The sequence below is a fragment of the Homo sapiens genome, chromosome 12 (assembly GCF_000001405.40).
Source record: "Homo sapiens chromosome 12, GRCh38.p14 Primary Assembly".
Classification (NCBI taxonomy): Eukaryota; Metazoa; Chordata; class Mammalia; order Primates; family Hominidae; genus Homo; species Homo sapiens.
The window spans coordinates 108,561,196-108,584,956 of record NC_000012.12 but is presented as its reverse complement, the minus strand read 5'-3'; the positions used below and the strand labels follow the sequence as shown (position 1 = coordinate 108,584,956).

Genomic DNA, 23,761 nt, shown 5'->3' with positions numbered 1-23,761 from the left:
TTTCACTCTGCATACATGTTTTGAGATGTATTCATGTTTTTGTAGTATCAATATCTCACTCTTTTTCATCGCTAGGTAGCATTCTGTCATATGGATGTACCACAATTTCTTTATCCATTCACCTGCTAATGGACATTTGGATGGTTTCCAGTTTTGGGATATTACAAAGTTGCTATGAACTACTAATGTTATTTGATTTTTTCCTCACAACCTTCAAGAGGAGGTGATCATTCTTTCTCTCCATTATACAGATGAGAAGAATGGAGACTCAGAGGGGTCAAGTGACTCATCCAACATCACACAGCCAGTAGTTGGAGTGTCAAACCTTAAAGAGTGGGGATGTGTGAGCTGAAAGTGACTTTAGGGAAACTTCTAAGGTTCAGAGGACATCAGCATCACCTGGGACCCCTGAGTGCTGTTTCAGCTCTGCAGGTGATTCTGATGTACTAAAGTTGAGGATCCCAGCCCTTTATTTTATAGTCGGGCAGGTGAGGACCAGACAGGGGCTTGGGTGGGGCAGAGCTGGGCAGGAATCAGGTCTCTTGTGGGAAGTCTTGAGCTGTGTCCAGCTCTGCGCTGTTTCCTCCTTGGTTCTTCATCTATTTTGGGAGAAGTATCTTCATCTGTCTGGAGTGGGACGGGGAATTGCCATTTTTTTCAGAAGGTTTTAATTTCAGGATTCCTTTGGCTGCTCAGAAATAGCAGCAGGGATTTGGTGACGGCTCCAGGGCCCGGGAGGTTTCCCGGCAGCTGCTCCCTCTCCCCAGGGGCGTCCAGGGTTTATGGTGGCAGCTGCAAAGCAAATAACAGCCCTGCTGGTAAATCCACTCTGGCCACTGAGGCCCCTGCGATGTCTACCACCCACTGGGGCCCTGTAGTGACACCTGGGGTGCCCTGGAAGGCTGGAGAGTCCAGGCTTGGGGGTGACCACCTGCAGCCTCTCCCTTAGAGTATGGGCAGTCAGGCCCAACTGGCAGAGCTGGAGGGGGAAGAGGAGGGATGGGGACTGCATCCTTCTTCTTCCCCCTTCAGGGGTCATAGGGGTCAAAGATTACAGACAGCAAAGGGCAGAGGGAGGTAGAAGGGCACTGGGGCCACAGCCCCTGCCCTGCCTCTCCTCTTCCCCCAGAATACAGTGAGGCTAAGAAATATGGATGCACTTTACAAATGTTCCCAGAAGTGTGTATGGTGGTTAGGGGTGCAGGTTTCAGATGACCTGGGCTGGAATCCTAGTTCTACTATCTCCCCTGGATAAATCACTTAACTCCTGTAGGCCTGCGTTTCCTGATCTGTGAAATGGCAATAATGGTGGTACCTACCTTGGAGTGTGGGTGAGAGTTGAGTTCATTTATTAAAGTGCTTGGAATGGGCTGCCTGTGGGAATGTAAGCTGTGGTTAGCTGTGAACTGTGAAGTGCAATGCCCGCAGAAGGGGAAAGGGGGAAACTTCTATCTCTAAACATCCAGCTGTTCTAGAGTCACCTTTTCTTTCCAGGTCTAGTTTAGAGGCTTCAGAATCATAAGATCAGTATTCTCAGATGCTTGAAACTTTACAGTCTTAACATCTTTTCATAGGGGGCAGGGCAGTGGAAGTGTTGGAGAGGCCAGAGCAGGGCCAGGAGCCAGGGAAGACCTGCAAACCCCAGGGAGGGGCGAAGGATGTGGCTGGAGAAGAGACAGGTTCCCTTTACCCTCTGGGTGGCAAAAAGGCCCTCCAATCCATGCATGCCTCTGCGGGGGCTGTGCACCCAGTGAGGTGAGGGGTCATGCCTCAGCTGTTCCCTGTCTTCCTCTGGGGTGCGGCGACCACAACCAGGGCTTAGATGTTGTCTGGGCCAGTGTGGCTGGAGATGTAACTGGTGACAAGCGTCGGGGAGCCCAGAGGCTAGGGCTGGTCTGGGGCAGGCGCCAGGGCTATTTCTGGGTGGAAGGAGAAGGGGGACCCAGCTGGGCTAATGACTGGGTGACCTGGAACTTCCGCCTTCTCTCTGTTATGTTCCCATCTATATAAACTTGTCAGCATGGACCCTAGGTAGCAACGTTCTCCAGGCACAGTGGGGGAAGAGCGCAAGGCGTCTGACTCACCTCCCAGAAGACTTGGGTTCAAATCCCAGCCTTCAAATTCCACATCCAGGCTGTGATGTGGAGCAGCTTCGGCCTCCTTTTGGAGCCTCAGGGCTTCACCTGCGAACCCACAGGTCCTGCCCTGTTGGGGTCCCGAGGAGAAAACGCTGGTGGGGTGCATGGCCCAGGGCCCAGGATGGAATAAGGGTGGTTCCAATGATCCCTGCTGCCCTTGCCCTCAGGAAGCTCTAAAGAGCACGCTGCCTCCCTCGGGCAGTTCTGATTTGTGAGATTGGGTGGCTCCTCCTCCGAGCCCTGGTGCTTAGAGTCCAGTGTGGAGCTAGGCACCCAGTAGGTGCTCAATAAATGTTGAGAAGGGAGTGCTATGCCCTTTTCAAGGCTGGGCCCTCGAATGAGGAGCAGAGGGGATGCATGGCATCAAAGGCATTGGATATCTCCTCTGCTCCTGCCCCCGGGGGGTGGCTGTGATATGAGGAGCTCAGGGAAACCCCCTCGACCCCCATACCTCCCACCTCTGTCCTTCCTCAGTGTTTAAATCTCACCATTAGGATTTCTATCACTTCTTGAGCACCACTGTGTACCAGGCATGGTACTAAGCACTTTCTATACATCGGGTCCTCACAAAGCTGCGGGAAACACCGCTGTTATCCACCTTCTACACAGGAAGGTGCAGAAGCTCAGAGAGGTGAAGTGACTTGCCCAAGGTCATACAGCCAGAAAGTGCCTGCGCCCAGCTTTGAACCTTTTGGGGTTGTTGGACCCTGTAGCACTAACCAGTGCTCCACTGTGCCTGCAATCCCATGAATGAATGAATGCATGCATGTATGCATGAATGAATGAATGGGGGATGGGGCCCAAGGCTAATGTATCCAACATCTGAGTAGCCCCACAGCTCAGTCGGCAGCAGCCCGGAGGATTTGACCACAAACGCCTCCGCTGGTCTGAGCCCTTCTTGTCTGCTCACAAACGGCGCATGCGCGCACCCAGCGCGGGAGGAGAACCCAAGCTGGTGGGGCGCATAGCATCCTAGCCCCGCGAAGGATGACCCAGCGGGCTGCTGTTTATCCCCATCTTACAGCGCGGGAAGCCCACGGCGGCTGAAGTGGCCTGACCGGGGGCTCGTGGCTAGTGCATGACCACGCCAGGCCTGCTGGACTCAGACTCTTACTCCTGCTCCAGGCGCTGCATGCGGGAGGTGCTGAGTGTCCACGGAATCTGGAGTCAGGCCCGCAGCCCTGGGGCTCTCCAGAATCCGACATGGAGGTGGGGGGTGGGCGGGGTCCTTGGGCAGGTCCTGGGCCTCGGTTGGGAGCCCCAGGGTGGAGGTCCGGCCCTGCCCCCTCCCTGGCTGTGCCGCCTGGGGCAGGTTGCTTGCCCTTTCTGGACCACAGCTGGACAGAGGAAGGGAAGAATGAGGCTTGTGCTGGAGCTGGTGAGTCCCAAACCCTGTGTTCCAGGGCAGTATTATGGTTAGCGCTGGAGGAAAAGGAGATACAGGATGGCATTTTTCCCTAAATAAAAAGAACTGGGCCAGGCATGGTGGCTCACGCCTGTAATCCCAGCACTTTGAGAGGCTGAGGCAGGCAGATCGCTTGAGCCCAGGAGTTTGAGCCCACCCTGGGCAACATGACAAGACCCCGTCTCTACAAAAAATACAAAAATTAGCCGGGCATGGTAGCGCATGCCTGTAGTCCCAGCTAGTCAGGAGGCTGAGGTGGGAGAATCACTTGAGCCTGGGAAGTTGAGGCTGCAGTGAGCTGTGGTTGTGCCACTGCACTTCAGCCTGGCGACAGAGTTTGACCCTATCTTAAAAAAAAAAAAAAAATTCACTCAATTCTTGCACAAGGTCTCAGGAGAAACTGGACTCTTTCCTCACTTTAATCCATCCCAGAGAGATCAACTCCTCTGCCCATCCCCTATTTTAAGAGACTCCTGGGAGAAACCTAGTTCCTTTGGTCCTTTCTCCATGATCTCACAACCCCTCACTCTCTGGAAGTTCTTTCTGCTATATAACCTAAGTCACGCAGGGTGGCCAAAGGCCGGTTTCCCCACATTCTGGCCTGCAGCAGAGCTCTGGCTGGAGGACTGGGCCAGCTATTGAGGAGCCAGTTAGAAACACTCTTGAATTCTTCCCATGACCTCTCATAAGATAAGAACATCTCGTCCTTGTCCAGATCTGATTCTTTGTGCTGTCTGGTTTGGAGCAGACTGTGATGGAGATAAATGTCTTTCTTGGAGAGTCACATGGCTGCATCCACCTAGTGTTGTAAATGTGCTGCCCTTTGACCCAGAAATTCTTTTCTGGAACTTGCCTGCAGAAATACTTGTGTTTGGATGCTAAGATGGGCACACAAGGTTGTTCATGCTAGTGTTGTTTAGAATAAGTGAAAAGAGAGGGCTAGGCTGGGTGCAGTGGCTCTCTCCTGTTATCCCAGCACTCTGGGAGGCCAAGATGAGAGGATCACTTGAGGTCAGGAGCTCGAGACCAGCCTGGCCAACATGGTGAAACCCCATTTCTACTAAAAATACAAGAAATAGCCAGGTGTGGTGGCAGGACCCTGTAATCCCGGCTACTTGGGAGGCTGAGGGAGAAGAATCTCTTGAACCTGGGAGGTGGAGGCTGCAGTGAACTGAGATCACACCACTGCACTCCAACCTGGGCAACAGAGCGAGACTCCATCTTAGAAAAAAAAAAGAATAAGTGAAAAAAAAGGAAATAATCTATGTGTGCAATAGTGTAGTGGGGTTGAAGAAACAGTCATCTTGTCCAGTGAGAGGCTCAGGGCTTTGACTCTTTTTGTTTGTTTGTTTGAGATAGGGCCTTGCTCTGTCACCCCAGGTTGGAGTGCAGTGGTGCAGTCATAGCTTACTGCAGCCTCAATCTCCTAGGCCCAAGTGATCCTCTCATCTCAGCCTCCCTCAGAGTAGCTGGGACCACAAATGCATGCCATCATGCTTGGCTAATATTTTTTTCTTTTTATAGAGATGGAGTCTTGCTATGTTACCCAGACTGGTCTCAAACTCCTTAGCTCAAGTGATCCTCCTGCCTTGGCCTCCCAAAGTGCTGGGATTACAGGTGTGAGCCACTGCACCCAGCCAGGGGCCTGTCTCTTATGGAGCTCTGGCTTCTCCGGCTTCTCTCCAGTGAATTACCTGTTTCTATCTGTAGTCTATACTTGCATTGGTTGTGTATCCAGTGATTTTCAACTTTTTTGAGGCACAGAACCCTTTGTTCACATAAAGGAATCCTAACATGTAAGTCAAATGAAAGTAGAGCTACACCCTTGAAAGGGATGGGATAGGCTCACTTCCCTTTGCCCCCATAGGGGCCTCAGGCTCAGTGAAGCATAGTTTGCAAACAGTTGTTCTAGTCCCTCCACTCAAGCTATGGATGGGAAACTGAGACTCAAGTTGTCCAGAAAGGTCATGGCCAAGGCCAGTCTCTAGTCCAGGTCACCTGACTCTGTCCAGTGCTCATTCAAGAATGAACTCTAGGTAGATGATCGAAGCATCCACAGAAAAGAAGATTTATCACTTCCTTTCTATGTTCTTCGCTTCATTTATTTTTTTATGTGCCTTATTGTAATCACTAAAACATCTAATTCAATAGAGTGCTGGTTGTGGTGGTGGAGGTGGAGGTAGTGATGATGAAGGGGAGGGAGACAGTGGTAGTGGAGGTGGAGATAGTAATGGTGGCGGTTGTGGAGGTGGTGATGGTGGAGGTGATGATGAAGGTGGTGGTGATGGTAGAGGTCTTGGTAGTAGGGGTGGAGAAGAGGTGGAGGTGGAGATGGTGGTTGTGATAGTGGTGGTGGTGTAGGTGGTAATGGTGGAAGAGGTGGTCATGGTGATCATTGTGGTAATGGTGTTAATGGTGGTGGTGGTAGAGGTGATAGTGAAGGTGGAGGTGGTGGTGAGATGATGGTGAAGGAAGTGGTGGTGGTGGAGGCGATGGTGGATGTGGAGAAGGAGGTGGTTGTGATGGTGGCGGTGGAGGTGGTGACAGTGGAAATGGTTGTAATGTTGGTGGACACAATGATGATGGTGATGGTGGTGGATGTGGTGGTAGAGGTGGTGGTAATAATGGTGGTAGAGGTGGTAATGGTGGAGGTGGTGGTGATGGTAGAAGTTATGGTGGTGATGGTGAAGGTGAAACAGGTGGTGGCAGTGGAGATGGAGAAGGAGGTGGTGGTGGTGATGGAGGTGGTGGTGATGGTGGTGGTGGTTGTGATGGTGGTGGTGGTGATGGTGATGGTGATGGTGGTGGTGATGGTGGTGGTGATGATAATGGGGCTGGTGATAATGGGGCTGGTGATAATGGGAGTTGTGATGATGGGGGTGGTGATGATAGTGGTGATGATGGCAATGGCGATGTTCATGATGATGGTGATGATGACGATGATGATGATGATACTGATGATGATGATAATGATGATGGTGATGATTGTATTAGTGTTCAAGGTGCCATAACAAAATACTACAAACTGAGTAGCTTACACAACAGAGTCCAAAATCAAGGTTCTGGCATGTCTGATTTCTGGTGAAGGGTCCTCCTCTTTCAGGCATATAGATGGTCACTTTGTCCTCACATGTCACATGGCCTTTCATGTGAGTGCACACTGAGAGACTTCCTTTTTGTTTTGTTTTGCTATTTTGAGACAAGGTCTCTGTCACCCAGGCTGGAGTACAGTGGCATAATCATAGCTCACTACAGCCCTGACCTCCTGGACTCAAACAATACTCCCACTTCAGCCTCCTGAATAGCTAGGACTACCAGCTTGTACCACCACACACAGCTATTTTCATTTTTAGAGATGGGGTCTTGCTATGTTGCCCAGGCTAGTCCTTAACTCATGGCCTCAAGCGATCGTCCCACCTCAGCCTCCCAAAGTGTTGGGATTACAGGTGTGAGCCTTATAAGAAGAGCCACCAGTTCTTTCTTATAAGACCACCAGTTCTTTCAGATTATGATGCCACTTTTATAAACTCATGTAACCCTAATTACCTCTTGCAGATCCTCTCTTCAAATATAGTCACATTGGGGATTAAAGCTTCTACATAAGAATTTTGAGGGGATATACCTTAGTCCATAGCAGGGATTGGTAGCAATAACAACTACAGCAGAGCTGATGATTTTTTATGGTGATGATGATGATGGTGATGGTGATGATGATGGTAATGGTGGTGGTGGTGATGGTGAGGATGGTGATGATGATGGTAATGGTGGTGGTGGTGATGGTGAGGATGGTGATGATGATGGTAATGGTGGTGATGGTGATGGTGAGGATGGTGATGATGAAGGTAATGGTGGTGGTGGTGATGGTGATGGTGAGGATGGTGATGATAGCCAACATTTATTGAACACCTACTACATGCCTGGAACTGTGCTTTTTTCACTTTACATGGGATAATTTATTTAATCCTCGCAATAATCCATGACTTAGGAGCTAGTTGTCTCCTGTTTTTTCAGAAAGAAAAACCAAAGCTCAGAGAGCTTAAGTACTTGCGTAAGGTCACATGGAGAGATCACAGCAGAGCTGGGATCAGAACCTGAGCCCCCAAGACCTTGCCCAAAGTCGTTCCCTAATGTCCTGTGGTCTTGCCCACAAAGGGGCCAGTGACATAGGGCTGCCTATTGAGGAGGTTTGGGGCAGAAGGGAATCCAGCCCCATTTCCCCACTGGGGCTTCCTTTGACGGATAGGACTGAGGTCCTGGGGGCAGGATGGGAGGCCCCTGGAAGTCCCTTTGCACCAGCAGCTCCAGGATAATAAAGTTGTTCTCACCTGGGGAGCCTTTTGGAGTTATTCTGGGAGTTGGGTTTCTTTGAGGTGAGGCCATGGGCTGGAGTGTCTAATGTGACATTTCCAAAGATAGCTGGGCGGGGTGGTGGTATTAGAGAATGGGTGTGGGGAATAGCTGTGGCCCGTGGTTGGCCACTCGCTGTGGGATGAGCTTGCCTGTCAAGCCATGTGTGACAGAAATCACGTCAGGGTGTCTCCTGCATGGATGCAGACAGGCCACAGCTTTGCAGAATGTTGGAGGCTGGACTGTGAGGGTTGGTTCTATGCCAAAGACACCAGAGCTTGGAAGCCTTGAGGTGATCATATTTTAAAAATAGTTCATAGTAGCAGTAGCAACAATAGTAGTAATAGGACCAATAGTTAGTATTAGTCATGGTAATCTGCGGCCCACCTCATTTTATTGTGCTTCCATGATACTGTGTTTTTTATGCATTAAAGGTTTATGGCAACCTGTCTTGAGCAAGTCTATCAGCACTGTGTTTCCAGTAGTGTATACTCACTTTGTGTCTCTGTGTCATATTTTGGTAATTCTCATAATATTTCAAACCTTTTCATCATGCATCAGTAATCGTTTTGGGGCACCACGAACTGTGCCCATGTAAGACAGTGACCTTAATCAATAAATGTTGTGTATATTCTGACTGCTCCACCAATGAGCTGTTACCCTCTCTCCCTCTCCTGTAACCTCCCTATTCCTAGAGAAATACAAAAATATTGAAATTAGTCAGTTAATAACCCTACAATGGCTTCCTAAGTGTTCAAGGAAGAGTTGCACTTCTCTCACTTTAAATCAAAAGCTAGAAATCATTACACTTGGTGAAGAAGGCATGTTGAAAGCTGAGACAGGCTGAAAGGAAGGCCTCTTGCACCTAATTGTTAGCCAAGTTGTGAATGCAAAGGAAAAGGACTTGAAGGAAACTGAAAGCACTACTCCAGTGAACACACAAGCGATAAGAAAGCAAAACAGCTGGCCGGGCGCGGTGGCTCATGCCTGTAATCCCAGCACTTTGGGAGGCCAAGGTGGGTGGATCACGAGGTCAGGAGTTCAAGACCAGCCTGGCCAAGATGGTGAAACCCTGTCTCTACTAAAAATACAAAAATTATCTTGGCACGATGGCACGTGCCTGTAATCCCAGCTGCTCGGGAGGCTGAGGCAGAGAATTGCTTGAACCCGGGAGGTAGAGGTTGCAGTGAGCCAAGATCATGCCACTACACTCTAGCCTGGGCAACAGAGTGAGACTCTGTCTAAAAAAAAAAAAAAAAAAGAAAGCAAAGCAGCCTTATTGCTGTTGTGGATTGCACATCACCATGGTCTGGAGAGAAGATCAAACCAGCCACAACATTTCCGTAAGCCGAAGCCCAATCTAGAGCAAGGCCCTAACTCTCTTCAATTCTATGGAGACTGATGGAGGTGAGGAATCTGCAGAAGAAAAGCTGGAAGCTAGCAGAGGTTGGTTCATGAAGTTTAAAGAAGCCATCTCCATAACATAAAAGTGCAAGGGGCAGCAGCAAGTGCTGATGGAGAATCACATCAAGTTATCCAGAAGACCTAGCTATGATCACTGACGAAGACGACTACACTAAACAACAAATTTTCAGCTGGGTGTGGTGGCTCACACTTGTAATCCTGGCAGTTTGGGAGGCCAAGGCAGGAGGATAGCTTAAGACCAGGAGTTCGAGACCAGCTTGGGTAACATAGCGAGACCCCCATCTCTATTAAAATTAAACAACACATTTTGGCTGGGCCCGGTGCCTCATGCCTGTAATCCCAACTCTTTGGGAGGTGGAGGCGGGCAGATCACTTGAGGTCAGGAGTTTGAGACCAGCCTGGCCAACATGGTGAAAACCCATCTCTACTAAAAATACAAAAATTAGACAGGTGTGGTGGCACACACCTGTAATCCCAGCTACTCAGGAGGCTGAGGCACAAGGATTGCTTGAACCTGGGAGGCGGAGGTTGCAGTGAGCCAAGATCGCACCACTGCACTCCAGCCTTGGCGACAGAGAGAGAATCCACACGACAGGTGTGGTGGAAATAGCAAGAGAACTAGAATTAGAACTAGAGTCTGTAGATGAGGAGTTGTTTCTTATGGATAAACAAAGAAAATGGTTCTTGAAATGGAATCTACTCCCAGTGAAGATGCTGTGAACATTGTCGAAAGAACAATAAATGATTTAGAACATTACATAAGTATAATTGGTGGGCCTGGCATGGTGGCTCATGCCTGTAATCCCAGAACTTTAGGAGGCTGAGGCAGGTGGATCACTTGAGGACAGGACTTTGAGACCAGCTGGTCAACACGGGGAAACCCCATTTCTACTAAAAATACAAAAATTAGCTGGGCATGGTGGTGCACGCCTGTAATCCCAGCTACTTGCGAGGCTGAGGCACAAGAACCACTTGAACCCAGGAGGCGGAGGTTGCAGGGAGCTGAGGTTGTGCCACTGCACTCCAGCCTGGGCAACAGAGCAAGACTCTGACTCAAAATAAGGAAGGGAAGGAAAGAAAGGAAGGAAGGAAGGGAAAGGAAAGAAAGAAAAAGAAAGAAAGAGAAAGAAAGAAAGGAGAGAGAGAGAGAAGGAAGGAAGGAAGGGAAAGGAAAGAAAGAAAAAGAAAGAAAGAAAAAGAAAGGGGAGAGAGAGAGAGAAGAAAGGAAGGAAGGAAGGAAGGAAGGAAATAAATTTGGTGAAGCAGTGGCAGAGTTTGAGAAAATAGGTTCCAATTTTGAAAGAAGTTCTACCATGGGTAAAATGCTATCAACTAACACCACAGGCTGTAGAGAAATCTTTTGTGAAAGGAAAAGGCAATCAAAGTGATGAACTTCAGCGTTGTCTTATTTTAAGAAATTATGGCTGGGTGCAGTGGCTCGTGCCTGTAATCCCAGCACTTTGGGAGGCCGAGGAGGGCGGATCACCTGAGTTCAGCAGTTCAAGACCAGCCTGGCCAATATGGCGAAACACCATCTCTATTAAAAATAAAAAAAATTTGCCAGGCATGGTGGCACATGCCTATAATCCCAGCTACTCGGGCAGGAGAATTGCTTGAACCTGGGAGGCAGAGTTTGCAGTGAGCCAAGATCGATCGCAGCCCTGCACTCCAGCTTGGGCGACAGAGCGAGATTCCATCTCAAAAAAAAAAAAAAAAAAAAAAAAAAAAAAGACATTGCCACAACCACCTCAACCTTCTGCAACTCCCAGCCTGATCAGTCAGCAGCTGTCAAAATTGAGGCAAGACCCTCCACCAGCAAAAAGATAATGACTTACCGAAGCCTCCAATGACTGTTAGCATTTTTTTTTAGCAACAAACTATGTTTATATTAAGGTATGCACATTGGGTTTTTTTTTTTTAGATATAATGCTATTGCACACTTAACAGACTCCAGTTTAGTGTAAACATAAGTTTTATATGCACTGGGAAAATTTGTGTGACTCGTTTTATTGCAACATTTACTTTATTGCAGTGACCTGGAGCCGAACCTGCAACATCTCTGAGGTGTGCCTGTAATAATACCAATGCAAATAGTAATAGTGAAAATAGCAGTAGAGAAAGTACAGTCATAGCATGCAGGGGCTTGGGCTCTAGATCAAACAGCTCTGAGCTAGAATCTTGATCTTACCATTTGCTGACACATCATTTTACCTTTTAGTTTCTCTATCTGTAAAATGGGATATTGATAGTACTTTAGGATTTTTGTGAGGCAAATGAGCTGATCTATATAAAACACCCAGCAACAGTGCCTAGTATGTAGTCAGGGCTGAAGTGTTACCTGTAATAATGAGAACCACCATAACAGCAATGAACTATTTTTTTTTCCTTTTTCTTTCTTTCTTCTTCTCCTTCCTCTTTTTTTTTTTTTTTTTTTTAAGAGACAGGGTCTCACTCTCTCACCCAGGTTAGAGGACAGTGGTGCCATCACAGCTCACTGCATCCTTGAACTCCTGGGCTCAAGGGATCCTCCCACCTCAGTATCCCAAGTAGCAGAGACTACAGGTGCATGATACTGTAGTGTGCACGACAGGTGCACGACACCACAGCCAGCTAGTTTTTTTATTTTTTGTAGAGATGGGGTCTTGCCATCTTGCCCAAGTATTGACAATTGTTGCAAGATCTCAGTTCTTGCCTTCTTAGTTTAAAAGAATATAGACAAGAGACACACAGCAAAGGGGAGGTGCAGCATAGAGTAATTTATTGCAGAGGAAAAAGAACATTTTGAAAGTTAGGTACAGAAAGGACAGGACACCCTGAGAGAGACAGGATTTAGGGCAGGCTGCTCTTAAGGACAGCATTGATTATTGCTGGGAGACTCCCTTTGTGGGGGTTTTACATCATTATTCATAAGGGGTTGAGAGAGGTGTTACTAGTAAGCATGTTCTGGGTGGTCCTTTCGGTGCCCACGCACAGTAGCTGTACGTGCTTGTTCATACATTGCATGTCTCATTCGCATCTTAAATCTCCACCTAGGGGTGTGTTTTTTACTCTTTTAATGAGCAAAGGGTCAGTTTGAGGACAGCTAAATCAAAGTGCGCACACTCTCTAGAGGGGAAAGTCCCTACTGAAGATAGCTTTGCTTGAGCTTTGCTCAATTACAATGTGAATGCTGAGGCTTATTGTGTTGACTGTACAGTCATCACGGATGCTGCATCTCGAGGACATGGTCACTTCCTTGACTACCTCTCCTGCCTCACAGGCTGGTCTCTAACTGCTGGGCTCAAGCAATCCTCCTGCCTTGGCCTCCTAAAGTGCTGGGGTTATAGGCATGGGCCACTGTACCTGGCCAACAGTGAACTCTGTGTGCCATGTGCTTTCCATGTATTATCTCATTTAATCGTCAGGTCTACCTGATCAGGTAGGTACTATTATCTTTCCCATTTTGCAGATGAATAAACTGAGGCTTGGGGAGGTTGAGCCTTTCGCTCAGGGTCACACAGCGGTAGCCAGCATTTGATTCAACACTCCAAGCTCACTCCACTCTGCCCTGCTGCTTGCTCCCTGGGTGGAGATGATCTTCTCTGGGGAGGTGGCCTTTTGAGGGGCTGGCTGATGTCATCTCGGGGGGTGGGGAAAGCAAGCAGACAGGCCTCCAAGAGCCATTGGCAGGGGATGTGCTCCACGTCCATCTTTGGTTGGGGCTGGAACTCATCTGTAGGGGCCCTCTAACACCACCAAAACTTGGTGGGACCTAGAAGTCTTCTCTTCTGTCGTGAAGATAGACACAAGGTCTGCACTCTTGCCTCAAGTTCAAAGGGCCTGAAGTATCGAGAAGTGTGCCTCATTTGTTTGTCTTTTTAAGAAAATTCATCCTAGGGCCAAGTAGTTTTTACAAGACAATGCTTAATGTGAGGTTCTAGAACTGTGCATTTGGATGTGGTCCCGGGTGGCCCTGGTCCAGGAATCACACTTAGGAAAGGTTACATCCGAGATGTGGTCATAGCTGTAGTGTGGCACTCAGGAGAGGGTGGGAGGTGGGCAGAAGACCTCAGCCAGAGCTCAATTCTACCACTTCCTAGCTGTGTGCCTTGAGGCAAGTCATTTCACCTCTCGGAGCCTCTGCTTCCCCATCCATCCATCTGCCCATAAACCCACCCAGCCCATCAGGTGATGCCAGTGCCCAGGCCCCACCTCCAGAGCATTGGATTTAACTTGGCATCAGGATTTAATTAGGCTCCTGGTGGGAGCCAGGGTTGGCGTGAGGGCCATGGTGCTTGGCAGCCAGTTGGCCAAGAGAATGCATCAGGCTCAACCTGTGTTGGTTCAGCTTCTTCATTGAATGTTCAAGGCACAGGTGAGCCTCTGATGTGCAGTTTGAATCCCTGGTGTGTTCTGCCAGGAGGGGTGAGGCAGAAGAATGGGCTTTGGGTCACTCAGATCAAGCCAGTTGGCCTGAGGGTCAGTTGGCTTCTTGAGCCAGTGTCCTTGTTTGAATCAATGCCCACTGCAGGCAGCTGTCATGAGAATTAACAGGATTACAGATGTAAGGGCCTGGAACAGAGCACAGGTGCTTGACAGACCATTTTAACTTATCTGTGGAGGTTTTCCATGGACAGGTTTATTTAGAGATGCTAAGACCTATTTGGAGGCTGCAAAAACCCCTAGACTTGAGTTCACTGAAGGGCACATGATGCCCTCATGTGGCTCAAACTAGATTTGTTTGGGGAAAGAGTGTCTTTAATGTGAATTTAAAAAATATCCATTTGTTTTAGCAGTACAACCACGTTTAGAGACTTGGGCTCTTCTGGGAATATTGCTTTGTTTATAAGCTCCTCCTGATGTTCAACTCTGAGGATGTTCACTGGGACAGAAATGTCTCATTTAAATTAAAAAAATCACAAAGAAAAGTGGTGGGGAATTGTGGTGGTGCCACATGTAATAAAGAAGGGAGAGACAAGCTCAGTCTAGAGGGACTGTGAATTAAATTGCAGAACATGCCACACAGGACAATTTTACATGGTTCTACCCAGGGTTCTAATTTGAGATTCCTATAAAGGCCCTGGTCTGTGGCTGCCTTCACAGACTACAGAAGGAACAGTCTTTGAAGTTCTGTGCCCTCCACCAGAACCCAGAGCATTAAAACAAAAAAACAAAAAACAACAAAAAAAACAAGGGAGGTATATTTAAGAGGCAGCCAGCCTATACCTGAACAAAAAAACCACCACCAGAAAAAACAAACACATCTTACTTTTGAAGCTGAACATTTGAGACTATGGCAGTCAATATTTCAATAACCCATTTTCACTAGAAGATAGGGCATCCTTTATTGAGATTTGCATGACTATGGGTAGCTAAAAATAGGGAGACATCAGGGTAGGAGGGCCCGTGCTTAGACTTATGCCCAAGCCAGGGATGAATGTTTGTTTGTTTGGCTTTGAGACGGAGTCTTGCTCTGTCTCCCAGGCTGGAGTGCACTGGTGTGATCTTGGCTCACTGCTACCTCCACTTCCCAGGTCAAGTGATTCTCCTGCCTCAGCCTCCCGAGCAGCTGGGATTACAGGTGCGTGCCGCCATGCCTGGCTAATTTTTGTAATTTTAGTAGAGATGGGGTTTCACTACCTTGGCCAGGCTGGTCTTGAACTCTTGACCTCGTGATCCACCCGCCTTGGCCTCCCAAAGTGCTGGGATTACAGGTGTGAGCCACTGCGCCCGGCTGGATGAATGTTTTTTAAACAACCTTAGGTGTACTATGCAGGTACAGATAGTTCAGAATGAACCACTTAAGATACTACATCTATGCAGAACACAGCATTCAGAAGTTTCTTCCCTAAAGTTTGGCTCATCTACGACCACAAAAAACCCAAGAGGTTCTTAAAAGTCAGGGGCTCTGGAATTACCTGCCCAGACAGAAGTCAGAAACTTGGGCCTAGAAATCCGCATTTTAAACTCATTCCCGAGGTGCTCTTCATGTATCTGGTCTACCGCTTTAGGGTGCCAAGCTAATGCTTTTTAGATTTGAGCAACCAGTGAAATTACAGAAAGAATCTTCAAGACTTACTTTGAGCTTTCAACTACTATCACACAAAGAACAATGACAAGCGATAATCATCTCCTTTCATCCTTGTTCCAAAAAATATTACGTATATTTGTCTTTGTTTGCTTGGAGAGCTGTGTATGTCACTGCGGTCCAACCTCTGGGAACCCCAAGGGGCTTTGGGCACCACTTCAGGGTGAATGATGGGCCCAAGAGACAAGGCTTACTAGAGAACACCATCATCTTCCATTATTTTATTATTTTTTATACATATATATATATGCGCAATCTGTTTTATGTACAACAATTGGTTCTATCAAATATTCAGACCAAGGCATTCTACTGGTAATTTCCCCCCAAATCAATTCAGGTAAAATTAGATACTTATGCACTTCACGGGCTATCAAAACTTGCAACTTCATTATCAATTTCAGTTCTGAGGTCATACACACAATTCAAAATATACATTAACTAGGTTAAGGCGATAAAAGTGGGCTGAAAGAAACCACAGGATTCAGAACAATGAAACTGTGTATTTTGCTTGCATGAGAGTCATAACGTGAACAGCAAGTATTGTGCGTATCTCATAGCTCTTCAGTGGAGAGGAAGCGGCTTCTGAACATCTAAGGTGACTGCACAGCAGGTGGGAAACAGCTGGTGTGGCCTGCTGGAGGCTTCGCCGAGGGAGGGCTCATTTCTTCTCTGCCTCTCCTTTTTTGGGTTCTTGTTTCAATTTGTAATCAGCCAGGGCGGCCTTGATTGCATCTTCAGCCAGCACTGGAAGTAACGGAAGGAAAGAAGCCTAAGTTTCTAGATGTGAAAGAAATGGACTTGGGAATAGAATCTTTAAGAGCTGGGAGGAAGTGGTGCTGGTGGGGACTAATGGAGTAACCAAGCCAGAAAGCTGGGGTGAGGAGTTGCTGGGCACGTCAGCAGCTGCTTCCTGAGCTGAGTTACTCCTGCGGGTGATCCTGGAGACAGACTAGGGTTAAAAATCTGTGATCCCAGGCTAGTTCCTTAGCCTCTTTGACCCTACTTTCTCTTCTATAGAACTGGGATAATCATGCTTTTCTTGCCAGGATAGTGTGGGGACTTACAGAAGATGTCTGACACATAGTAGGGACACAGGAAATGTTACTTCTTGCCTGCTCCCATCAAAGTCTAGCTTTGGACAAAATCTTGTCATGATAAAAAAGTTGACATGCCCTTTGGAAAAAAGATCATGTCAATCTGTTGATGGGATGGCATTTGCCACATCACCCTCTAGTGATCGAGAGTTTGACCACTTTTATTTAGGAGTCAATATTCAAAGTGAGGCTATGGGGAAAATAAAAACTGAGAGAGCTGGAATGACAGCAGAAAGCAAGCAAATAACAGAGAACATCAGCTAAAGGTTTCAGTACCTAAAAAGGCCTAATAAAAGGGCTGGGGATTTCCTGAAACCATGTGAAAATGTTTACAAGTGATGACCTTTCTTTATGGGTACTTAAAATTCCAGATCAAGTGGAAAGAACTTAGGTCTGACCAGGCTTCCTGAAGAATGAGTTAGTGTGTCTGCCCCGGCACCTGGCTCTTCTGCTGTGAGTATTACCTTGGCAAGAGGCCTGACTCTCTGCTGATTTTTAACTAATTTGGTTAGTAAACCTCCATCGATGCATTAAGGCTAATGTTTCTCATTCCTTCTTTCCCTGAGAAGGTTAAGAAATGATGGAAAAAGCATTAGATTTAATACAGAGACCAAACTGGAAAGCCAAGTACAAGTCTTAAGGCATCTGGGCTTTTTTTTAGGATAGCAGGGAGGGGGACATTGTACAACTGGGCTTAGTTGTTCCATATATACAGATGCAGACCCCGACAGGAATACCATCCAGACAGGAAGTGAAGAAATACACAGGAAACAGGATTATGGCGAAAGCTGAGTTTTCTCCTCTGCTGGAAACAGCACAGATTCTGAAATCAAAGATTGGAGCTTAAATTCTGGCTCTTCCACTTATTAGCCATGTGATGTGGGCGTCTCAACCCAAGCCTTAGCTTCCTCATCCATAAGAGGGAAGTAATGACATCTACTGTGCACTCAAGGATATTTGTGAGGTTTAGAAATTACGCCCATGAAGTGCTCAGTATGATGGCTGGTGCATACCTCCTTCTGGCATGATTCTCTTAGGGATGAATGTGAGACCATGGGGGCTCTAACCCTCTGCAGGTTATAAGGACAGACTCATGAGCTCTAATTCTGAGGGTTACAAACGTGGGCTCCATGATCTAAAAGGACTGTTGCAAACCAAGTTGAAATTACTGCCAAATGTCCCAGCTGACTGGTATGGAGAGCAGAGACTTACTGGAGCAGTGCAGTTTCACGGGAGGAAGGCAGAGCTCCTTGGCGATATCTGTGTTTTTGATAGTCAAGGCTTCCTCCACCTGAGAGGCATAATGGAAAGATGGGCAGTTTTAGCAACACTTTATCTTGTGAGGGCCAGCCAATAAAAAAGGGAGGCCAAAGAGGCTCTCAGGGTTGGTGGGGATGATTTCTGTTTAATAACTCAAACGGCTAAGGGTCTTCTCAGGACTCCCACTTTATCAAAGCTGCAGCTGGGATTCTCAAGCATGAAGTATACACAGCTGCACTGCCTGGCTTGGGTAAGCAAAGACAGCCCAGACACTTCTCTAAGTCAGGAGTGGAACCTGTGAGAAGTCTCTTAGGGATCTGCTTGTGGCCTGTAACAGGAATCTCTTCCTTAAAAGGTAGTGATTTCCTATGCTGGTTTTGTGAATATCAGCTTCTCCGATGTCCTCATACCAAATGTTAGCCTAAATCCTTTTGACTAGAAGTGCCGAATGGCATCAGAGAGGTTGGGAAGATTTCAGGTAAGTAGCACAGTGGCAGTGGCACAGCCGAGTCAGGCCGAATGCTCTCTTTGGTGTCCCCTTTGCCTATAGGAGCATCTCCTCCAGATCAACTAAAGAGGATGCCTGGGGTCTGGTTGACAGCCCTGGGGGATAATGTGAGGCAGGCAGATCCTTGCCCATGTAGAACAGTGCCCCACTGCCTTACAGAAAACCAGATTTCCCAACAGCCAGACTCTTTGACTATGTCTATCATTCAGTTTCCCAATTCTGCTAACCCTTCTTGGTTGATTCAGGTTCTGCTCCTGAAACTCAGATGGGAGATCTCAAGGTTAAAGAAATGTCCTCTCTCCCATTTTCTGATCACAATTCACAGTCCCCTAAGGGCCAGGTTCTGGGAGCAAAAGTGCCTTGTCTCATTTCTCCCTTCACCTGAGGACAGTTCCTGACAAATCACTTCAGAGCTACCTCCTGCCACAGCAGGTTAGGTCTGAGCTTCCTGGCCCACAGGGGCTTGCCAGCCAGAAGGCCGTGAGCCACAGGAAGCAGGTGGCACGTGGCCTGGCAAACTGCTCTGCTGTGGAGCTGGCCAGCTTCCAAGCATGCTCCTCTGTGACTCAGCTCCCTGAACCTGGTCCCTTGGGGCAGCAAAGATGAGTGCCTTGCTGGTTGGCTTTTCTGAGAGGTTTTGACAGCAACTGGATTTTAGAAAGTCCAGCTCTTCACTGTGTTTGGGACCTTTGACCTCTGCAGCTACCAGGGAAAGACACTTGGGAGACAAAGGGATGAAAAAGAAGTTCTAGCTCTTTATTATCTCTGCCTTTAGAGGGCTTGCGATCAGCCACCTGGATCACTGTTCTGATTTCGTTGTTCACTTTGCCCCCACCCTTGCTGTCTTTTTGATTATTTAATCCCTCTTTTAACACAGGCTAGTTTATTTCACCAATTCTTGAAAGCCACCTAGAACCCTTCCTGAAACATGAGAGGAAATAAACAAGAAAATAACTACCTTATAACAACTCTCTGACTTGAGAAATTATAAGAGCACTGGTAACCTTAGAGAAAGCCAAAGATTTCTTTTAAATTCTATTTTGTTAGAGGGACAGGTGAGGATCTTTTTTATATGTAATTAACACCCAAACAAACAAAAAAATAAAAATGATCAACAAGAAAAAAACCCAAACAACACCTAGTAGAATGATCCATAATTCCCAATTTGAAGAAATGATAATATAATCAACATCTGCATAGGAGAAATTTTAAAAATTTAGAATATTAAAAAAAAGTCATGGTTACTTGTTTTTGACCCATTAGATTTGTGAGCCACCTTACCGTCTTTCCTTTCACCCATTCAGTGGCTAATGAGCTGGAGGCAATTGCGGAACCACAGCCAAATGTTTTAAACCTAGCATCCACAATCTTCCCCTTTTCATCCACTTGAATCTAGAAAAGAGACAAGAGTTAAGTGGTGAGTCCTGGGACCACCCTCTGGAACCTGGCACTCACGAAGGTTCACCAGGGCCTTCCCCAAGGGCTTTGGGCTTGCTTTCCACACTAAGTGATGGCATTAATTACTGACTTTGCCTTGTTTCAAAGAGCTCAGTGATGAAAAGTGAAATGCAGGGACAACTATCCAGGCCCAACTGACAAAGATCAGCTGAAAAATATGTCCCTCCACTCCAATATTCTTTTGTTTTGTGACTCTGGCCTGCATTTTGGCTATGAACTTCTATTTGTGGAAGTCTGCTCACAGCTGCTGGGGCAATCTGGCCTCTTTAAACACTGACAGAGTCCACAATAAAGGTCTCTGGTTAATACTTTTTTCTTGGGCAGCAGATTACACTTAGTGGTTTCCTCCTGTTTTGTTTCTGTATTCCAAGATAGGTATGAAGACCTCTGGCAAGCTGCCCACTCACCATGAAGCAGCAGATTGGTGCTACAACTACAGTTTACCCAAAGCACTAGACACTATTTTCATGTTTCCCCCAATCTGGGGACAGGTTTAATTTACTGTGTTTCTTGTTTCATTGGGGACTGCTAGCTCACTGGGATTTTCCTTTGATCAGTAAAATTCACAAAACTCTTTAGTTGGCTGAAGTCAGAATTTAAACTGATACAGTGAGTACAAAAATGAGATTACTTTTCTATTTTGGAAAAAGTTGGCATAGTACACTAGCCTAGCAGGAGAGCTACGATTGAGGCCCTGCTCCAGTCATATCTAACATGGACTCATCCCATCTCACAGGAATGGAGACCAAGTGAAATGCTTGGAGATCTCACAGGAATAAAGATGGAGACCAAGTGAAATGCGCAAGTGCTTTGTAAACTTAAAGGGATTATTGTTATCACTATTAAAAAAGACTAGCCATACCTGTAATTTCATTACGTCACCACATGCTGGAGCCCCCACCAGTCCAGTTCCAACATTTTTAGATGTCTTGTCAAGGGACCCCACGTTTCTAGGATTTTCATAATGATCAACAACCTAAAATGAGAGGGTTAAGATAAATCATGTTCACTCTCTATTGGTACTGGTCTCTGGTTTGATGGTAAGCTCCTCGGTCAGCATCTTGAACCTGGCAGGCAATCACTAAATACCAAATTTCACCTGAGTAGAAAGGTCTACACTCATGTCAATGAGAACCATTTGTGACCCCCAATTCCTTTTGTGTCTCCTCTACAATACTTCACAGATTTGAGATACCTAGAAGAAAAAAAAATCAGTGAAATCATGTCTTAGTTCCATAGGATTTTTACAAAAATACTTGACTTTCACCCACCTACATCACCAGACTTGGGCTCAAACAGCAGTTTTGTTATTTTCAAATAAAATCCATCCTCAAAGGATGATTACTATTTAAAAATTCTAAAAATAACCATGGCCCAGGGAGGGAAAGCTTTCTTAGAAGCCTTAAGGTGACTGTTACACAGGGAACAATGCTATGGAATGTGTACGTTTATGTGTCTTTTAAAATAAAAACAGTGCCATTACCGTATTTCACAGCCTGTCATCACCCTGGTGCAGCAGCGCACCCTGGCTGCTGAAAGGCTGCTAGTCCAAGTTTCTTCAGGGTGTACCCTCAACAAAACACACCCCCGGGAGGGGGAGGAGTGAAGAAGCCCTTGGAGAAAGGGCAGAAGCCAGATCACAATAAACATCCATTCGAACTGGCACACAGAAGGCCTTAATAACCTTGAGGTTTGGTTACTGGTTAGTAGTAAGCACGCCGATCTTCCAGTCCCCTTTTCCCCCCATCTGACTAAGGATTTTGACTCCAAGTAAAAGGGACCTCAGGATAGTATCTAATGTAGGGGCCTTTTGTGCCACGTTGATTTATGGCATTCTTTAGTTGTTTCTCGAGTGGGAGTCTCACGTCTGGGGGACTTTGTGCCACCAGACAGCAAGGGGCTGCAGACTATGAATCTATCCCTCCTTCCCCGCCAAAAAACCCCCCAAACAAAACAAAAACATTACGCATGTTGGTTACAAGCCTGACTCCCCTATGCACTCCTAAAGCAGTAACAGAAACGGTCTCCTCGTGCTGGGGCCTATGTGCCAGGAACCATGCCAGGACTCCACGCACAGTATCCTTTGTAAGGGACAGCTGAGAGCCCCCCATTTACACCTGGGGAAACAGGTTCAGAGAGGCGCAGTGACTAGCCCAAGGTCATCTGGCCAGGGCAGCGGAGTGGCTGAAGCCGGAGCCCGCTCCGGGGGTGTGTCTGTCCCTGGACTCAGAAAGACAAGTCCCAACAGGACCCTGCCTCCTGGGCTGTTGGCGAATTTAAAATTGGGACGCACGAAGTCGCGGCCAGCGGCGGGGCCCCCTGGAAGTCGCCGCCCGATGAGCGGTAACTGTTGTTTATCAGTTGCAGTGAGCCTCACTGCGCAGCAAGGGAAAGCGAGTCAGGGCAAAGACGTGGGAGGGGACAGCTCCCAGTCCTAGCTGCGCAGAACCCCGCGGCCGCCCCTCCAGCCCAGGCCTCCGCTGAGTCGGCATTCCGCGCGTCCCTCTTTTGTCCCTACCTTCTTGTGATAGAGTCGGGCCGGGGCCGACAGCTCCCGGGCGGGCAGGCGGGGGCTCCGCAGCAGCAGAGCCGATGCCGCCCGCCTCAGACGGAAAGCCCCAGCCGCCGCCATCTTGCCGGCTTGCGCCTGCGCCAGTCCAGAGCGACGCCGAGGGGCGGGGCGCGTCTGCGAGTCGGCTCCGAGCTGGGAGCGCGCCTCTCTGACGTCACCGAAGCTTTGCGCCTGCGCTTTACCGCTCCGTGCACGCGTCCGCCTTCTGGCCCCGCCTTGACCACGCCTCTCGGGGGCGGGCGGGGTCGGGAGCGGGAAGGTCTGAAGTCGCTGGAGGGCTTGTCCTGGGTGCTGGATTCTGGTTGAGACAGGACCTCAGGGCTTCTGCAGTGTGGGGCTCAAGTTCGCTTTCACAAATCCCGCTGCGGGAATGCGGCGCAGAGGAGCACCGAGTCCACTTTTCCTAACCCTATTTTGCAGCTAAGGAAGCCGAGATTCAGGGCAGTTTAGTAAGTCCGTCCAAGGTCGCTAAGGACTTATGTTCAATTAGAATTCGAACTTGGGTAATCCTGGGTTAGAATCCTGGTTCGGTTCCTTCCTGGCTGTGTGTCCCTAGACGAATGGTACCGGCTCGCTGAGTCTGAATCTTCCCTTTTGTATTAATTCGAGGACAATTGCTTCATCATGAAGCCAGCATCTGTGTCGAGTACCTACTATGTGTCAAGGCGCTCTACTAGACCCGGGGATCCAACGGAAAGCAAAACAGACATAATTCCTGCCCATTAAGCCTGCTAATGAGGGAGCAAGGTAGAGATAGAGACACACACCAATACTTTCCTACCTCAAAAATGGGAAGCTTAAGAAGGAAACGAATACCATGTCCTGATTGAAAAAAAATGAATATGTCTATTTTTCTCTCTAAAACAACAGCAAACTCAATTTATATGTCAGTGCCTAGCAATTAAGAATTTCTAAAGAAATGCGTATTAATGTAATTTACTGTTGGTTTGCAGTATGTGATCTTATAAAACCGGAAAACTCACGTGTATTTAACGTCTACTAGGTACCAGACGTTTACATAAAGGGGAGGAATCTGGGAAATGGATTTTTCTCTTGAATGGTGAAATCGATCCTTCCCCGAGGACCTGCAGTTTTCTTTGCGTTTGAGGCGCAGTTGCTGGGGAGAGTAAACCCAAGCGCCAGGTCACACTAGGCGATAAGTAAGGCATTTAATCGAAGAATCACTTTGACCTTCTCAAGATGGCGCCAAATTCTTCACTACAGACATCACTCTCGCTCCATGACTTCCTCTATGGCTTCCACTTCCTGCCCAAAGACCCAACTTCTGTCCGAAGTTGTGACGGAACGCATGCCATTATAATGAGTTTTTATATCTGGTGGGAGCTTTTACAGGGTATAAAATAATGTGAATTTAGTGTATGTGGAGATTTTCCTGTTATCTAAGTTCCCAGTTTCTCTTTCAATGGCAAGAAAACGGGTTTTTGATAAGGCGCGCGCCGCGGGCAGCTTCTGCCTCAGCGGGTCTT

At 47.5% G+C, this 23,761-nt stretch overlaps 1 protein-coding gene across 7 annotated transcripts, besides 10 other annotated features; it reads right to left on the bottom strand.

Moving 5' to 3' along the window:
- Window positions 2,460-2,637: a silencer, noted in NCBI's record as "fragment chr12:108976096-108976273 (GRCh37/hg19 assembly coordinates)". NCBI's record gives its function as "represses an EF-1alpha promoter that drives an FKBP-Casp9 reporter gene in an ReSE screen in phorbol 12-myristate 13-acetate-treated (for megakaryocytic differentiation) K562 erythroleukemia cells {active_cell/tissue: K562(+PMA)}" and the evidence as "EXISTENCE:reporter gene assay evidence [ECO:0000049][PMID:32094911]".
- ISCU (iron-sulfur cluster assembly enzyme) lies at window positions 15,573-23,494 on the bottom strand. 7 transcript variants are annotated; one of them, NR_135127.1, is made up of 7 exons: window positions 22,221-23,494; window positions 20,802-20,897; window positions 20,565-20,678; window positions 19,526-19,636; window positions 17,689-17,767; window positions 17,200-17,299; window positions 15,573-16,126 (listed from the first exon to the last, which is right to left on the bottom strand). NR_135127.1 is itself a non-coding variant. In NM_014301.4 (6 exons), the coding sequence occupies exons 2-6, from the start codon at window positions 20,838-20,840 to the stop codon at window positions 16,041-16,043; spliced, it is 429 nt and encodes a 142-aa protein (NP_055116.1). In that variant the 5' UTR covers window positions 20,841-20,897; window positions 22,221-23,494; the 3' UTR covers window positions 15,573-16,040. The 7 variants fall into 7 exon arrangements, 6 of the variants coding, with proteins under 6 accessions (NP_055116.1, NP_001288069.1, NP_001288070.1 ...); NM_014301.4 differs by lacking the exon at window positions 17,200-17,299; NM_001301140.1 differs by lacking the exon at window positions 20,802-20,897 and having other exon boundaries at window positions 17,214-17,299.
- Window positions 15,872-16,021: an enhancer, noted in NCBI's record as "active region_6969". NCBI's record gives its function as "activates an Ori minimal core promoter by ATAC-STARR-seq in GM12878 lymphoblastoid cells {active_cell/tissue: GM12878}" and the evidence as "EXISTENCE:reporter gene assay evidence [ECO:0000049][PMID:35858748]".
- Window positions 18,441-18,490: an enhancer, noted in NCBI's record as "active region_6968". NCBI's record gives its function as "activates an Ori minimal core promoter by ATAC-STARR-seq in GM12878 lymphoblastoid cells {active_cell/tissue: GM12878}" and the evidence as "EXISTENCE:reporter gene assay evidence [ECO:0000049][PMID:35858748]".
- Window positions 21,132-21,181: a silencer, noted in NCBI's record as "silent region_4829". NCBI's record gives its function as "represses an Ori minimal core promoter by ATAC-STARR-seq in GM12878 lymphoblastoid cells {active_cell/tissue: GM12878}" and the evidence as "EXISTENCE:reporter gene assay evidence [ECO:0000049][PMID:35858748]".
- Window positions 21,872-21,941: an enhancer, noted in NCBI's record as "active region_6967". NCBI's record gives its function as "activates an Ori minimal core promoter by ATAC-STARR-seq in GM12878 lymphoblastoid cells {active_cell/tissue: GM12878}" and the evidence as "EXISTENCE:reporter gene assay evidence [ECO:0000049][PMID:35858748]".
- Window positions 22,142-22,261: a silencer, noted in NCBI's record as "silent region_4828". NCBI's record gives its function as "represses an Ori minimal core promoter by ATAC-STARR-seq in GM12878 lymphoblastoid cells {active_cell/tissue: GM12878}" and the evidence as "EXISTENCE:reporter gene assay evidence [ECO:0000049][PMID:35858748]".
- Window positions 22,472-22,551: an enhancer, noted in NCBI's record as "active region_6966". NCBI's record gives its function as "activates an Ori minimal core promoter by ATAC-STARR-seq in GM12878 lymphoblastoid cells {active_cell/tissue: GM12878}" and the evidence as "EXISTENCE:reporter gene assay evidence [ECO:0000049][PMID:35858748]".
- Window positions 22,622-22,681: an enhancer, noted in NCBI's record as "active region_6965". NCBI's record gives its function as "activates an Ori minimal core promoter by ATAC-STARR-seq in GM12878 lymphoblastoid cells {active_cell/tissue: GM12878}" and the evidence as "EXISTENCE:reporter gene assay evidence [ECO:0000049][PMID:35858748]".
- Window positions 23,536-23,635: an enhancer, noted in NCBI's record as "active region_6964". NCBI's record gives its function as "activates an Ori minimal core promoter by ATAC-STARR-seq in GM12878 lymphoblastoid cells {active_cell/tissue: GM12878}" and the evidence as "EXISTENCE:reporter gene assay evidence [ECO:0000049][PMID:35858748]".
- Window positions 23,646-23,705: an enhancer, noted in NCBI's record as "active region_6963". NCBI's record gives its function as "activates an Ori minimal core promoter by ATAC-STARR-seq in GM12878 lymphoblastoid cells {active_cell/tissue: GM12878}" and the evidence as "EXISTENCE:reporter gene assay evidence [ECO:0000049][PMID:35858748]".

Bases quoted from the DNA above. Each gene is read 5' to 3' on its own strand.
- ISCU (NM_213595.4), bottom strand. From the start codon at position 22,334: ATGGCGGCGGCTGGGGCTTTCCGTCTGAGGCGGGCGGCATCGGCTCTG. The intron at 19,637-20,564 runs GTATGGCTAGTC...TCTCTTTTCTAG, and splicing joins GTGACGTAATGAAATTACAG to ATTCAAGTGGATGAAAAGGG. The intron at 17,768-19,525 runs GTAAGGTGGCTC...TATGCCTCTCAG, and splicing joins AATGGGTGAAAGGAAAGACG to GTGGAGGAAGCCTTGACTAT.